Source organism: Homo sapiens, chromosome 1 (genome assembly GCF_000001405.40).
Source record: "Homo sapiens chromosome 1, GRCh38.p14 Primary Assembly".
Classification (NCBI taxonomy): domain Eukaryota; kingdom Metazoa; phylum Chordata; class Mammalia; order Primates; family Hominidae; genus Homo; species Homo sapiens.
Window position 1 is genome coordinate 62,453,376 of NC_000001.11, and position 17,967 is coordinate 62,471,342.

The 17,967-nt window shown below is 39.1% G+C and overlaps 1 protein-coding gene across 12 annotated transcripts in view; it reads right to left on the reverse strand.

Annotated features, from left to right (window-relative positions):
- The window catches only part of DOCK7 (dedicator of cytokinesis 7), a 233,661-nt gene continuing 217,044 nt past the window's right edge, over positions 1,351–17,967 (reverse strand). For all 12 annotated transcript variants that reach the window (XM_047432967.1, NM_001272001.2, NM_001272000.2 and 9 more), the window contains 2 exons: positions 4,163–4,330; positions 1,351–2,081 (listed from right to left, as the gene is read on the reverse strand). In XM_047432967.1, coding sequence (XP_047288923.1) covers positions 2,039–2,081; positions 4,163–4,330 — 211 coding nt within the window. In that variant the 3' untranslated portion in view covers positions 1,351–2,038. The remainder of the gene's footprint in view (positions 2,082–4,162; positions 4,331–17,967) is intronic.

A 17,967-nucleotide genomic window follows, 5' to 3' on the forward strand; every position in this document is an offset into this window, starting at 1 on the left:
AGTCTAGCTCTGTCACCCAGGCTGGAGTGCAGTGGCGTGATCTCAGCTCACTGCAAGCTCCGCCTCCCGGGTTCACGCCATTCTCCTGCCTCAGCCTCCCGAGTAGCTGGGACTACAGGCTCCTGCCCCCTCGCCTGGCTAATTTTTTGTATTTTTAGTAGAGACGGGGTTTGACTGTTAGCCAGGATGGTCTCAATCTCCTGACCTCGTGATCTGTCTGCCTCGGCCTCCCAAAGTGCTGGTTTTTGTTTTTGACTTAAGAGTCTTGCTCTGTCGCCCAGGCTGAAGTGCAGTGGCGCCATTTTGGCTCGCTGCAACCTCCACTTTCCAGGTTCCAGTGATTCTCATGCCTCAGCCACCCAAGTAGTTCGGATTACAGGCACGGGCTACTACACCTGGCTGATTTTTGTGTTTTTGGTAGAGATGGGGTTTCACCATATTGACCAGGCTGTTCTTGAACTCCTGGCCTCATGATCCGCCTGCCCCTGCCTCCCAGAGTGCTGGGATTATAGGCCTGAGCCACTGCACCCAGCCAATCTGATCAGTTCTTTTATATATATGTGTGTGTATGTATGTATGTGTGTGTGCGTGTGTGTACAGATGATAGTTTTTTTTTTTTTTTTTTTTTTGAGACGGAGTCTCTGTCGCCCAGGCTAGAGTTGCAGTGGCTCCATCTCTGCTCACTCCAACCTCTGCTGCCCGGGTTCAAGCGATTCTCCTGCTTCAGTCTCCCAAGTAGCTGGGATTACAGGCTCCTGCCACTGTGCCTGGCTAATTAATTTCTGTATTTTTAGTAGAGACGGGTTTTCACCATCTTGGCCAGGCTGGTCTTGAACTCCTGACTTCGTGATCCACCCGCCTCGGCCTCCCAAAGTGTTGGGATTACAGATGTGAGCCACCGCACCCAGATCTGGTTAGTTCTTAAGTGATTCATGTAACTGGTCAGTAGAAGAAAAGGATTATAAATGATGCCATTCTGTAAACTGCACTACTACCCAAAAACCATTGTTCTAAACTGTTCTGGAAATCATTACTATGCATCGTTTTGGAAAAACTTGCCAAGAATTAAAATGTTACTTCTCAAATTTTTTTTCTGTATGACTTGCATATAATTTTAGATGAATTAAAGCACCTAATTTTACTTTTTATATGCTTCTAAACTTTACAAGTGTCAGAAAATAGGTAATTTCTCAAACTCCAGCTGTGTTACCTTCATGGTGCTACAAGATAGCTTTAAGTAGATTCTAATTTACTGGTTTACATCGTCAAAAACTGATGGCTGGTTTTAATTTGAAACAGAGAAATCATTCATTTTAGTTGCTAAGAATCATGAAGTTCTTACTACTATCATTGGTGTAATAAGATTTAATCAAGTTAAGGTGTTGTCACTGGTATTAGTTATCCCCGTATTTAAATTATTTTACACAAAGGTTTTACTAAGTAAAGTTCTGCAATTCTAAATTCCTGTTTTGGGTATGTAAATGGAAAATAACTTTGAAACAGTTACCAAACTCATTAATTTGGGGCTATCTATGATTTTTATTCTGCTAGGTTTGGAACTAGTTCTTGAGTCAACCCTTTAATTGTTCTCTGCCATTGTCAATAATAAAAATTTTGAAGTCCCACTCGGTAAAATTAGTGTAAACATTCACATATTTAATAGTACCTTTAAAATAAGCATTACTACATTTAAAATGGTTCCAAAATGAATCTATAAATGGTAATATAAATTAAAAAATACGAACTTAAAGTGAATAAATTTTTAACCTTAGCTATGGTATAAATAATGGTAAATGTATAGTGTACCTTTGAGTCATTAAAATGTCTTAAAAGATAACAGCTTGTTACCAGAACATTAGAAACCATAGCCATGATTCTCAAGCGTTAACAATCTACATTTGATATTTTCTTGGCCACTGCATTCTTCAATGAATAATAATTTCCAGAATTCCATTCCATGTTGTTTTCCAATAGATCTTTTCACACTCGATGTTGAATACATGGCTCTTTGCAGATGAATAAAACAAGTGCATTCAGTTTAGAGATCCATTTTGCGAAGGCTCATTCGACTGAAGGAATCTCTGGGAAAAAAATGAGAGGACATAGTTAGTTAAAGAGAACAATTTTTGCATATACCTTTAAATGTCTTACATGGTTTTTTCTGCCAGTTACCTTAAAGTTTTGCCACCATTTCTTACTAACTTCCAAGTTGGATGCTCATCCTACCTACTCTGCCTTATATTTTGGCTTATAGATTTAGCTATAGAAGTGTATTACAGTCACCACTTACTGGTCTTTTGTATTCGTTTGTCTGACTGATGCTGCAGATATTGTAATAAACAAGACAAGGACTTAAGGGATAATGGGAGAGATTTTAGGAAAAGATTTGGGGTTTTTTACACGGCAAAAGGCAGGTGTTTATTAAATTTTAAGTCTTAAACCAGTTCTCAAACTTTGTCTCAGGTCCCTTTTACACTCTTAAAAATTATTGAGAACCCCAGGAATCTTTTATGTGGGCTATATATGGATGTTTATCATATCAGAAATTAAAACTAAGAACATCTTAAGTTACTATAAAATAACCCATTACATGTTACTATAAATAGCATTGCTTATTAAAAATGATCTGCAAGAAGCTTTAGGAGAGTGGTACTCATGTAGGAGTGTGGCTTAATGCCTATGTTCTCACATGTGCTTCTATAGTCAATCTTTTCCAATGTCACATCTCAACCTGTAGAAATCTCCACTGTACCCTCACAAGAAAATAAGTGAGAAAAGGCCAATATTTGGCATTAATATGAAATTAGTTTTGACTTAGGGAAATTCCTGAAAGGGTCTTAGGGACTCCCCTCTCATGGGTCCAGGATCCCTACTGCAAATATTCCTGATTTCATAAACCAGCAAAATTAAAAATTCAAATGCTAAAGAAGAATTTTAAACTTAAATTCTAAAAAAGAGTGAAGGGAACGATACTCCTGGAATACTCTTAACATATTTTCCATTATCAGTTGGTTTCTTTTACTTATCCTTCGTGCCATTAAGGTTAAGCCATGAGGCTTAATATCTCCAGGAAAGGAAAAGGCCAAGTACAAAGAGATCACATTGGCTTCAAATCTCAAAGCTTGCTTTGAAGGGAAACAGCAGTCTTGAAAACTAGATACTGTTCATCAAGAAAAAGTTTTTCAAAACTGCCTACATATGTTAAAAACTAAAGCTTGGAGGATTGGCCAAAAAGTAGATCATAGAGGACGGCAAAAACTCGGATGTTGTAAGGCAAAATTTTGGTCAGGAAGAATACAGCCTTTCCATGGAAAGGAGTTTCCATGGAGATCTGAAGGAACTGAGATGAGGATTAGGCCTATCTCAGGGACCCAGCACCCTGGCTCTCTGGGATCTCTGACCTGGTGGGTATAAGACTGGGAGAGGGGGAGTGGAAGCAGCAAGAAGGAAAAACTTTCAAAAAGATTGAAGGGGAAACCAAAAGTGGAGGGGACTAGTATGTTTCCCATTGGGAATTTTGAGAGGAAACCATCTTCAATACTTGTATGTAAATTCGATTTCAAAATGCAAGAAAGTTTACTTTCTGCAGTTATTGTGTCCTTTCCAGAATTCCGGTACTATAAAGTGAAATGTCAGGCACTGTCCTAAGAACTTCACATCTGTAATGTCATTTAATCTCCACAAAAACCTCTTTAAGTTCTATCTCATTATACAGAGGAGAAATCTAAAAAAATTATCTGCTTAAATAATAGAACTAGGATTTCGTTGTAGAAAATTCCAAGTTAATGACAAGACTTTGTGTGGTGTCCCGGTTAATGAGTACCAACTTTTTGATTCTCAAGTTATTTACCTTGTAGAATGATTATAGATGATACAGGTTGAACATCCCTAATCCAAAATTCTGAAATGTTCCAATATCAGAGACTTTTTAAGCGCTGACATGATGCTCAAAGGAAATGCTCACTGGACCATTTCAGATTTTTGGATTAGGGATACTCAACCAGTAAGTGTAACACGAATATTCCAAAATCTGAAACCCCAAACACTTCTGGTCCTAAGCTTTTCGGATGACAGATGCTCGAGCTGTAAAAAGACTTCTACTAGTTTAACATGTTAGGTTTCAGAGGAAAGAATATCTAAAACCACTTAAAAATAAGCATACCTGTGGCAGGTGACAGGCAATACTGCCTTGTATAACTGAGGGATCTTTCTGTTGATCAGTGGCTGTAGGGCCTCTTTAAGGCGATGATAGTTTCTCTCCAGTTCCCTTTGATACTCCTTTTGATCCGGCCCAATTAAGCTCTTATTTTTTCTTAAGGCATCTTCACACCTAGGAAAAACAGGATGTTATCAAGATATTACTTCTGGCATAGTTTGTGGGTTTAATGCCATACACACGCAAAATACATATACATATATATGTGGGCTTAATGACACACAACACAGACTATATATGTGGGCCTAATCACACACACATACACACAAAAATATAGGCCAGGCATGGTGGCTCATGGCTGTAATCCCAGCACTTTGGGAGGTCAAGGCAGGTGGACCACTTGAGCCCAGGAGTTCTGAGACCAGTCTGGACAACATGGCAAAACCTCGTCTCTACAAAAAAATGCAAAAATTAGCCAGGCATGGTGGTGCACTCCTGTAGCCCCAGCTATTCATGAGGCTGAAGTGGGAGGATGCTTCAGCCCAGGAAGTGGAGAATGCAGTGAGCTGAGATTGTACCACTGCAATCCAGCCAGGGCAACAGAGTGGGACTGTCTCAAACGTGGGTGTGTGTGTGTGTGTGTGTGTGTGTGTACGCGCGCGCTGAGATTGCATCACTGCACTCCAGCCTGGGCAACCGAGTGGGACTATCTGAAACAAATGTGTGTGTATTCACCATGATGAGGACATTTAGTTTTTCAGCTGAATGTTAAATAATCATCTTTTGTTTTAGGTTTAAGGCAGGGAACAGATAATCAACTGAGTTCCTGTAAAATCTACTATTTACTTCCAGTGTCATTAAATTGAAAATTATCTGAAGGCATTTTTTTCACATCACCACTTGACTAGAAGCTCTTTCAGGGATGTAATCATGCTCATTTATGTGGCACCAATGTCATCTGGCACAGTGTCTGCCTGTGTTCAAATATTTCTTAATAGGTTTTGTTTTTTTTTTTTTTTGAGATGGAGTCTCACTCTGTAGCGCAGGCTGGAGTGCAGTGGCGCGATCTCGGCTCACTGCAACCTCTGCCTCCCAGGTTCAAGCGATTCTCCTACCTCAACCTCCTGGGTAGCTGGGATTACAGGCGCCTGCCACCACGCCCAGCTAATTTTCCTTATTTTTAGTAGAGACGGGTTTCACCATCTTAGCCAGGCTGGTCTCGAACTCCTGACCTCGTGATCCACCCGCCTTGGCCTCCCTAAGTGCTGGGATTACAGGCGTGAGCCACCGTGCCCGGCTAAATGAATAGATTTTGATGACAGTCCTTTATCCAAGTTAATTCAAGTATTTGAGAAAAGTATCTGGACCCTGACAGACAATGAAGGAAAGGATATTTACAAATAATATATATATCTCTACATATTTGTGGAATGCCACTAAAGTGATGCTTAGTAGAAAACACATAGCATCAAATGCTTATATTAGAAGGCTAAAACTGAAGAGTTAAGCAACTTAAAGTATTAGAAAGGAAATAAGATTTTAAAATAGAGTATCAAAAATTGCAAAAGTTGGTTCTTTGAAAAAACTAAAAAAACAAACTAAGCTCTGGCAAGATTAAATGAAAGAGGTCAAATATCCCCTACCAGAAATTTAAAATGGAACATAAAGTTAAATACAGCAGAAGTTTTAAAAGGCAGAGAGGATATAATGTACTTTTTTTTTTTTTTTTTGAGACAGTGTTGCTCTGTCACCCATGCTGGAGTGCAGTGGCATGATCTCTGCTCACTCCAACCTCCGCCTCCTGGGTTCAAGTGATTCTCGTATTTAGCCACCTGAGTAGCTGGGACTACAGGCTCACATCGCCACACCTGGCTAGTTTTTGTATTTTTAGTAGACATGGAGTTTCTCCATGTTGGCCAGGCTGGTCTTGAACTTCTGGCCTCAAGTGATCTGCCTACCTCAGCCATCGAAAGTGTTGGGATTGTACAATTTACAAAACTGTACAATTTCATACAAAAAAACCCTCTGAATTTATATTCATTGATATTAATAGATTAATGTAGATTTTTTGCTAAATTATTAATAATCTGTTAATCTAGATTAATATAATTTAGCAAAACAGACTCAATGAAGAAAAAAATGGCAATAATCCTAAAATAATCCAATAGGTTGAAACAACTGTCACAAATCTATCTACAAAGAAAACACTAACTTCTACTAAACATCCTAGGGACCAATACCCGAATGTAATGCAATTATTCTAGAGTATATAAAAAAATGCTTCCAGGCCGGGTGCAGTGGCTCATGTCTGTAATCCCAGCACTTTGGGAGGCCAAGGCGGGCGGATCATGAGGTCAGGAGATCGAGGCCATTCTGGCTAACAGTGAAACCCCATCTCTACTAAGAAAAAATACAAAAAATTAGCCAGGTGTGGTGGTGGGTGCCTGTAGTCCCAGCTACTGGGAGGCTGAGGCAGGAGAATGGCATGAACCTGGGAGGCGGAGCTTGCAGTGAGCAGAGATTTCGCCACTACACTCCAGCCTGGGTGACAGAGCAAGACTCGTCTCAAAAAAAAAAAAAAAAAAAAAAAAAGATTCCAGAGTATAGGGGAAAAGAACTATTCTTGAGGGGAGTTCCCAACTCATATTTCAAGGCTGGGATACCAAAACCTAATGGAGACTATAAGAAAAAAATTATAATCCAAGCTCACCCATAAAAATAATTGTAAAACTTCCAAACAAAACACAGTTGGCCCTCCCTATCTGTGGGTTCTGCATGCATGAATTAGACCAACCATGGATTGAAATAATAATTAAAAAAACTGTGTTGAACATGTACAGACTTTTTTCTTGTCATTATTTCCTAAACAATACAATATTAACAACTATTTACATTATATATTAGGTATTTTAAGTAGTCTAAAATGATTTAAAGTATACAGGAGGATGTACATAGGTTATATACAAATACTACACCATTTTATATAACATATTAAACTTGTCTTCAGATTTTGGTATCCACAGAAGGCACACTGATGGACAATTTTAGCAGAAAACTTGTGCCAATGTATTGAACACACACACACACACACACACACACACACACACACCCTCCAAGTATTTTTCTTTTTTTCTTTTTTTTTTGAGACAGGGTCTTGCTCTTTTGCCCAGGCTGAAGTGCAGTGGCACGATCTCAGCTCACTGCAGCTTTGATCTCCTGGGCTCAAGGGATCCTTCCACCTTAGCCTCCCAATTAGCTGGGACTACAGGCGTGCACCATCATGCCCGGCTAATTTTTGTAGTTTTAGCAGAGATAATGTTTTGCCATGTTGCCCAGGCTGGTCTCAAACTTCTGAGCTCAAGCGGTCTGCCTGCCTCAGCCTCCCAAAGTGCTGGGATTTACAGGCATAAGGTACCACACTGGCCAAGTTTATTAATTCCTGGAATAAATGAAAAGTTGGGTTATAAAATCACTAAGTTTTTAGATTAAAAGATTAAAGGAGATGCAGAATAAAAGCACTTGATAACAAACTTTTAAAACCTGTCATATTAAAAACTCTTTGCATAACTACAAATAGGTGGGTAGTCCTTTAACCATAATTAAAAATCTACAAAAAACCTGTAGCAAACATACTTAGTGGTGAAAACCCTTTTAGAGAAGGAACAAGAAAATGATGTCCTCTCTATTCCTAGTCAACAGAGTACTGGACGTCCTAAATATCATTATAAGACAAGAAAAAGATTCTACAGATAAATTATTAGAATTAATAAGTCTATTAAGATAATAATTCTAATAAGATAAATTATTAGAATTAATAAGTAAGTCTGGTAAAATTCTCATGTAAAAGTAATATATAAAGTTAACTGCAGCTGGGCACAGAGGCTCACACCTGCAATCCCAGCACTTTGGCAGGCTGAGACCAGAGGACTGCTGGAGCCCAGGAGTGAGAGACCAGCCTGGGCAACATAGTGAGACTCTGTCACTATAAAATTAGGTATAGTGGTGAACACCTGTGGTCCCAGCTACTTGGGAGGCTGAGGCAGGAGGATCGCTTGAATCCAGCAGGTCAAGGCTGCAGTGAGCCATGATCACACCACTGCACTCACTCCAGCCTGGGTGACACAGTGAGACCCCATCTCAAAAAATAAATAAAATAAAATAAAATAAAATAAAATAAAATAAAATAAAATAAAATAAAAGTCAACTGATTTTTGGTAGAGCAGGAAACAGAAAACACAATTTTGAAAGATAACATTAAGGCCGAGCACAGTGGCTCATGCCTGTAATCCCAGCACCTTGGGAGGCAGAGGCGGGCGGATCACCTGAGGTCAGGAGTTCGAGACCAGCCTGACCAAGATGGAGAAACAGCATCTCTACTAAAAATACAAAATTTGCCAGGCGTGGTGGCACATGTCTGTAATCCCAGCTACTTGGGAGGCTGAGGTAGGAGAATCGCTTGAACCCAGGAGGCGGAGGTTGCAGTGAGCCGAGATCTTGCCATTATACTCCAGCCTGGGCAACAAGAACAAAACTCATCTCAAAAAAAAAAAAAATTAATAAAATCATAAAAGCATTATATACTAAAGAATAAATTTTAAAATGTACAAGACCTCTACACAAAAAATTTAAATAGTATTAAGAAAACATTTAAAAGACCTAAGTAAATGGAAAAATATACCATATTCATGGACTGATGTCAATTCTCTTCCAACTGATCTATAAATTCAGGTTATTTTTTGGGTGCATGGAGTGAAAAATTGATTCTAAAATTTAAAATTTATATAAAATTGAAAACAGCCAAAAACAGTCCTTCAACAAAACAAGGTGAGAGGAATTGCTCTGCCACACGGCAAAGCTTATTATAAAGCGGCAGTAGTTAAGAGAGCATGACATTAGCTGAAAGAGAGATAAATAGAGTACTGTAGGAGAATAAAGATCCCAAAAACATAGGCACATAAACACGGGTGCTTAATTTATAATAGTGATGACACTGCAAACCAGAAAGAAAGAAATTTATAATAGTGATGACACAGCAAACCAGACTTTCACCACAAACCTGTGAATGCTTTTTAAATAAGTGGTAATGAGTCAACTGGATATCTGTAAGGGGAAAAAAAACCTAAACCATATCTCATACCATATTCAATAAATGGCACTGAGATCATTATCAGTTATCAGTATGGACAAAAATCAAACTGATCCCTACCTTGAACCATACACAAAAATCAATTGCAAATGGATTTTTTTTTTTAAGAGATAGGGTCTCACTACGTAGACTTGAACTTCTGGCCTCAAGCCATCATTCTACTTTGGCCTCCTGTGTAGCTGGGATTACAGGCACTCACCGGCTCTTGCAGGCACATTTTTTTAAAGTAGAAAAAGCTTTTTTTTTTTTTTTTTTTTGCCTCCCCCACCCTTTGTTTAACCTATATTGATAAAGGAAAAGACTGAATCATTTAACTACATTAAATTTAAGAACTTCTGTTTGTAGGGGAAAAATGAGAAGTCTCAAATTCAGAGGAGATATTTGTGATATTAAGAAATGATAAAGCATTCAGAACACACAAATACCCTTAGAAATCAGTAAGGAAAAGAATCCAATAGGAAAATGATAAAAGACTTGAATATGTAACTTTACAGAGGAGGGAAGAGAAATGGCTAACAGACACATGAACCTCTTTGGTAAAGAGATATTCAACCTCTTTGGTAATCAGGGAAATGCAAATTTAATCCACGACTACCTATCATTTCACATCCACTAGTTGGTAAAAGTTACAATGTTAGATAATATCAAGTATTGGTTAGGATATATAGTAATAGGAACTCAAATGCTACTGATGGGAATGTAAATTTGGCTTACACACTTTTGAAAAAAATGTGGCATCGTCTGAGGATGAACCTATGAACCAGCAACACTATTCTTAATTTTAAGCCCTAGAAAATCTCTTGTACATGTATGTCCAGAAATAAGGTAGACGGATATTTGAGTAGCACTCTTTGTAACTAAAAACAAAACAAAACAGGAAACAACCAAAATATCCATCAACAGAAGAATGAATAAATCATGGCATATTCATAAAACGGATTATGTAAAAATAAAGCAACATTTACCATAGATATATCTCACAAACACTGAAAACAGCAACTCACAAAACATTGTATACACTGTTAAAGTTAAAAAAATGCAAAACAAAATATGTTATTTAGGGAACCATTTATGATAGAACTATAAAGACAAGAAAGGAAATGATAAATATGAAATTCAGGATACTGGTTACCCCTGAAGGAATGGAGGGAAATGGTATCAGATAAATAAACATAGGGAGGGGATCTCAAAGTCATGGTCATGCTTGGTTTCTTAGGCTGGGTGGTAGACACATGACTTTTTTCTTCCTATTCTTTAACAGCAAATGTTATAAATATTATTTTCAATCTATTCAAGATTTAATGAAAAACGTTTTAAAAAAACAAAACCCCAAAACAAAAAGTAAACACATGGAAAAGTGCTTACTGTTTTTAGTAATAAAAGCCATTTTCTTTTTTTTTGAGCCGGAGTCTCGCTCTGTCACCCAGTCTGGAGCACAGTGGTGCCATCTCGGCTTGCTGCAACGTTTGCCTCCTGGGTCCAAGGGAGTCTCCTGCCTCAGCCTCCCGAGTAGCTAGGATTACAGGCACATGCCACCATGCCCGGCTAATTTCTTGTATTTTTAGTAGAGATGGGGTTTTGCCATGTTGGCCAGGCTGGTCTCGAACTCCTGACCTCAGGTGATCCACCCACCTCGGCCTCCCAAAGTGCTGGGATTACAGGCCTGAGCCACCATGCCTAGCCATCAGTCTGTTTTAAATGGTGCCTCAATTTGCTTTTATTGGCTGGGCGCAGTGGCTCATGCCTGTAATCCCAGCGCTTTGGGAGGCTGAGGCAGGTGGATCACCTGAGGTCAGGAGTTCGAGACCAGCCAGGCCAACATGGCGAAACCCCGTCCCTACTAAAAATACAAAAATTAGCTGGGTGTGGTGGTGCGTGCCTGCAATCCCGGCTACTTGGGAGGCTGAGGAAGGAGAATCGCTTGAACCCGGGAGGTAGAGGTTGCAGTAAGCCGAGATCGCGCCACTGCACTCCAGCCTGGGTGACAGAGAGAGAATCCATCCCCCCTAAACAAAAACAAAAACAAACAGACTGACCAAAAAAAAAAATCCTATTTAAATGCAAGGTGTATTGAGACTAATAAATGTGCACTGTTGGCACTGTTAATACAGCTGACCATTTAACAACATAATTTGCAACTGTGAAAGTCTGCTTATATGTGGATTTTTTCCAATGAATGTAACTCTTTGGAGATTTGCGAAAAGACTTGAAAACAAATTGTGTAGTTGAGAAAAATTTTAAAAAGAAAAAGATGTCATGAATGCATAAAGTATATGAAGATACTAGCCTATTTTATTATTTACTATCATAAAATATATACAAAACTTACCCACATAAACACGGACCCTGCATGGCACCATTTGTAGTAGAGAAAAATGTAAACAGATGTAAAGATACATTAAGTCACAACTGAAAAAAACTGCAGTACATACTGTACTACTGCCATAATTTTGTAGCCACCTCTTGTTGCTACTGTGGTGAGCTCAAATGTATCTGCTTAAAATGCCATGTGATGCTACTTATCTCCAGGTGAGCAGTTGTTGCTGCAGTAAATTGCATATCACAGTAAAGAGTGATTTCTCATAGTTCTTGTGTATTTTTCATTGTATTTAGTGCAACCATAAACTTTGAATAATCCATGGGGCCTACATGAAGTGCCACTAGTGATGCTGGAAGTGCTCCCAAGCAGCAGAAAAAAGTTACATTACAGGAAACAGGTGAATTGCTTGGTATTATAGATTGAGATCTGTAGCTACAGTTGCCCACCATCTCAAGATATATGAATCCAGTGTAAAGAACACTGTAAAAAAAAAAAAAATTTGTAAGCCCGTAGGCATGAAAACCTTGCACTTTTTGTGAAATACTGTTTTTGTTGTTGTTGTTTGTTTTTTTGAGATGGAGTCTTGCTCTGTTACCCAGGCTGCAGTGCAGTGGCACAATCTCAGCTCACTGCAACCTCTGCCACCCAGGTTCAAGTGATTTTCCTGCCTCAGTCTCCGGAGTACCTGGGATTACATGTGTGTGCCACCATACCTGGCTAATTTTTGTATTTTTAGTAGAGATGGGGTTTCAGCATCTTGGCCAGGCTGGTCTTGAACTCCTGACCTCATGATCCACCTGTCTTGGCCTCCCAAAGTGCTGGGATTACAGGTGTGAGCCACTGCACCAGGCCTAGAAATACCATTTTATCTCATATCAAAAATGCAGCTTTTATGTGGGTATAGGATTGCTGTAAGAAAAGTGTATCTGTAGATTAATGATTTGAGAAAAAGTGAAGTCATTACACGACAAGGCAAAGGGAAGGTAAAGGATCTAAAGCTGGATGATTTAATGCCAGCAAAGGATGGTTTGATAATTTTAGAAAGAGGTTTGCCTTTTTAAAATGCCAGTAAACAGGAGAGGCAGTTTCTACTGACAAAGAAGCAGCTTCTGCCAACCAAGAGGCAGCAGACAAGCTCCCAGATGCCAATACAAAAATCACTGAAGAAGGGGAATATTTGCCTGAACAGGTTTTTTTTTGTTGTTGTTGTTGTTTTTTCTGAACAGATTTTTAATGCAGATAAAAGTGCCCTATTTAGAAAAAAAAATGCCACAATGGACATTTGTTACTAAAAAAGAGAAGTGAGCACCAGGATTTAAGGCAAAAAGGGATAGGCTAACTCTACTGTTTTGTACAAATGCAGTCAGGTTTATAATCAAGACTGCCCTTACTTACAAAGCTGCTAACGCCTGAACCTTGAAGGGAAAAGGTAAAAGCTTCTGGTTGAACAACAAAAAGGTCTGGATGAGAACCCAATTTATGGATTGGCTCCATGGGTGCTTTGTCCATGAAGTCAAGAAGTATTTTATTAGTTAAGGGAATGCCCTTTAAAGTTCTTTTGATATTGGACATTGCATCTGGCCACCCAGAACCCCAAGTTTAACACCGAAGGTCTTGAAGTGGTCTACTTGCCCCCGTAAAAACAACATCTCGGCCAGGTACTGTGGCTCACGCCTGTAATCCAAGTACTTTGGGAATCCGAGGCAGGTGGATCATCTGAGGTCAGGAGTTTGAGACAAGCCTGACCAACATGGCAAGACCCCATATACAAAAATTAGCCAGGTGTGGTGGTGGGCACCTATAATCCCAGCTACTCAGGAGGCTGAGGCACGAGAATCACTTGAACCCGGGAGGCGATTGCAGTGGGCCGAGATCGCGCCATTGCAATCAAGCCTGGGTGACAGCGAGATTCTGTCTCAAAAAAACAAAAACAAAAACAAAAAAAAACAAAAAACAAGAACAACACAAAAAACAAGAACAACAAAATACATTCCTAATTCAGCTTCTAGATCAAGGGTCGTAAGGACCTATAAGGCTCATTATACATGTACTTTATATTCATAGAAAGGAGTGTCAGCACTATGGAAGAGAACTCTGTTAAGGAGAACATCACAAGTCTGGAAGGATTATACCATTGAAAATGTCATCACTGTTTACAGAGAAAGCCATCAGGCCCAAGACAATCAATTCCTGCTGGAGAAAACTGTGTCCAGAGGTTATGCATGACTTCACAGGTTTTACAACAGGGCCAATCAAAGAAACCATGAAATAGTTGTAGATATGGCTTAAAAGGTGGAGAGTGAAGGGTTTCAAGATATGGATCTTGGAGAAATTCAAGAGCTAATAGAAACTATACCACAGGAATTAACAGAAGATGACTTGATGGAGATGAATGCTTCTGAACCACTGCCAGAAAATAAGGCAGAAAATGGAAGCAGCAGTGCCAGAAAACAAACTGACATGAGACCATCTGGCATAAGGGTTTCAATAACCTAAGACTGCTTCTGACTTCTTTTACAATATGGACTGTTTATGATAAGGGCACAGAAACTAAAGCAAGTGGTGGAAGAATGACTGTACCATATGGAAACATTTTTAGAAAAATGAAAAAGCAAAAATGTCAGACAGAAATTATGATATCCATACAGATGAATTCACAGCTGAATTCTACCAGACATTCAAAGAAGAACTGGTACCAATCCTATTGACATTATTCCACAAGACAGAGAAAGAGATAATCCTTCCTAAATCATTCTATGAAGCCAGTATCACCCTACTACCAAAACCAGGAAAGGACATAACAAAAAAAGAAAACCATAGAACAATATCCCTGATGAACATAGAAGCAAAAATCTTTAACAAAATTCTAACTAACCAAATCCAACAGCATAGCAAAAAGATAGTCCACCATGATCAAGTGAGTTTCATGTCAGGGATGCAGGGATGGTTTAACATACATGAGTCAATAAATGTGATACACCACAAAAACAGAATTAAAAACAAAAATCACATGATTATCTCCACAGATGCAGAAAAAGCAAATGACAAAATCCAGCACCCCTTGATGATTAAAAGCATCAAGGCCGGGCGCGGTGGCTCACGCCTGTAATTCCAGCACTTTGGGAGGCCGAGGTGGGCAGATCGCCTGAGGTCGGGAGTTCGAGACCAGCCTGGCCAGCATGGTGAAACCCTGTCTCTAATAAAAATACAAAAATTAGCCAGGCGTGGTGGCAGGCGCCTGTAATCCCAGCAACTCAGGAAACTGAGGCAGGAGAATCGCTTGAACCCGGGAGGCAGAGGTTGCAGTGAGCCAAGATCGCGCCATTGCACTCCGGCCTGGGCAACAGAGCGAGACTCTGTCTCAAAAAAAAAAAAAAAAAAAGCATCAGCAAAATTGGCATACAAGGGACATACCTCAATGTAATAAAAGCCATCTATGACAAATCCACAGCCAACATAATACTGAATGGGGAAAAGCTGAAAGTATTCCCTCTGAGAACTGAACAAAACAAGGATGTCCACTCTTACCACTTCTCTTCAACATAGTACTGGAAGTCCTAGCCAGAGCAATCAGACAAGAGAAAGAAATAAAGCAAATCCAAATCGGTAAAGATGAAGTCAAGCTGTCACTGTTTGCTGATGATATCACTGTATACCTAGAAAACCCTAAAGACTCCTCCAAAAAGCTTCTAGAACTGATAAATACATTCAGCAAAGTTTCAGGATACAAAATTAATGTACATTAATTAGTAGCTCTGCTATACACCAACAGCAACTAAGCTGAGAATCAAATCAAGAACTCAACCCCTTTTATAATAGTTGCAAAAAAAAAACAACCTCAAAAAACTTAGGAATATACCTATCCAAAGAGGTGAAAGACCTCTACAAGGAAAACTACAAAACATTGCTGAACTAAATCACAGACGACACTAACAAATGGAAACACATCCCATGTTCATGGATGGGTAGAATCAATATTGTCAAAATGACCATACTGCCAAAAGCAATCTACAAATTCAATGCAATTCCCATCAAAATACCACCATCATTCTTCACAGACCTAGAAAAAACAATCCTAAAATTCACATGGAACCAAAAAGAGCCCACATAGCCAAAGCGAGACTAAGCAAAAAGAACAAATCTGGAGGCATCACATTACCTGATTTTAAACTATACTGTAAGGCCATAGTCACCAAAACAGCATGATACTGGTATAAAAATAGGCACATAGACCAATGGAACAGAATAGAGAAGCCAGAAATAAACCCAAATACTTACAGCCAACTGATCTTCGACAAAGCAAACAAAAACATAAAGTGAGGAAAGGACACCCTATTCAACAAATGATACTGGGATAATTGGCAAGCCATATACAGGAGAATGAAACTGGATCCTCATCTCCCACCTTATACAAATCAACTCAAGATGGATCAAGGACTTACATCTAATACCTGAAACTATAACTAGAAGATAGCATTGGAAAAATCCTTCTAGACATTGGCTTGGGCAAATATTTCATGACCAAGAACTCAAAAGCAAATGCAATAAAAACAAAGATAAATAGGCAGGACTCAATTAAACTAAAGAGCTTTTGTATGGCAAAAGGAACAGTCAGCAGAGTAAACAGACAACCCACAGAGTGGGAGAAAATCTTCACAATCTATGCCTCTGACAAAGGACTAATATCCAGAATCTACAATGAACTCAAACAAATTAGCAAGAAAAAAACAAATAATTTCGTCAAAAAGTGGGCTAAGGACATGAACAGACAATTCCCAAAAGAAGACATACAAATGGCCAACATATGAAAAAATGCTCAACATCACTAATGATCAGGGAAATGCAAATCAAAACCACAATGCAATACCTGCCACCTTATTCCTGCAAGAATGGCCATAATCAAAAACTCAAAAAAAAAAAAAAAAATGGATACTGGTGTGGATGCGGTAAAAAGGGAATACTTCTGCACTGTTGGTGGGAATGTAAACTAGTACAACCACTATGGAAAACAGTGTGGAGATTCCTTAAAGAACTAATTCCTTAAAGAACTAAAAGTAGAACTACCATTTGACAGTAAAATGGAAGAAAAGAAGTCATTTCATGAAAAAGATACTTGCACACACATATTTATAGCAGCACAATTTGTAATAGCAAAAATGTGGAACTGGCCCAAATGCCCATTAATCAATGAATAAAGAAGCTGTGGTGTATACATACGATGGAATATTACTCAGCCATAAAAAGGAATGAGTAAATAGCATTCACAGCAACCTGTACGGGATTAGAGATTATTTATTCTAAGTGAAGTAACTCAGGAATGAAAAAACCAAACATCTTATGTTCTCACTCATTAAGTGGGAGCTAAGCTATGAGGATGCAAAGGTGTAACAATGATACAATGGACTTTGAGGACTCGGTGAGAAAGGGTGGGAAGGGATGAGGGATAAAAGACTGGGATGAGGGATAAAAGACTATCAACTGGGTTCAGTGTATACTGCTTGGGTGATGGGTGCACCAAAATCTCACAAATCACTTCTAAAGAACTTACTCCACTTTGGGAGGCCGACTCAGGCAGATCATGAGGTCAGGAGTTCGAGACCAGCCTGACCAACATGATGAAACCCCATCCCTACTAAAAATACAAAAATTAGCCAGGCATGGTGGTGGGCACCTGTAATCCCAGCTACTCAGGAGGCAGAGGCAGAAGAATCGCTTGAACCCAGGAGGCAGAGGGTGCAGTGAGCTGAGATTGTGTCACTTTCCAGCTTGGGCAACATAGCGAGACTCCGTCTCAAACAAAACAAAACAAAAAAACTTACTCATGTAACCAAATACCACCTGTTCCCCAAAAACCTATGGAAATCAAAAAAAAAATTATGATGTCTGTAAAGTTATACTGAGTGTGCTTGCCCCTTCTGCCTCCCCTGCTACCTCCCCCACCTCCTCTGCCTCTGCCACTCTTTAGACAGCAAGATCAACCCCACTTCTTTATCCTCCTCCGTAGACTCCTCAACATGAAGGCAAGGAGGATGAAGCCCTTTATGATGATCCACTTCCACTTAATGAAGAGTAAAATATATTTTCTCTTCCTTATGATTTTCTTAATAACATTTTCTTTTCTCTAGCTTACTTTATTGTAAGGAGACAGTATATAATACATATAACATAAAAACTATGTACCTAATGACTGTATTATCAGTAAGGCTTCCAGTCAATAGCAGGCTATTAGTTAAGTTTCTGGGGTGGGGAGGGTCAAAAGTTTTCATGGGTTTTCAGCTGTACAAGGGACAGCACCCCAACCTCTGTGTTGTTCAAGGTCAACTGTACTTAGAAACTTTTTAGAAT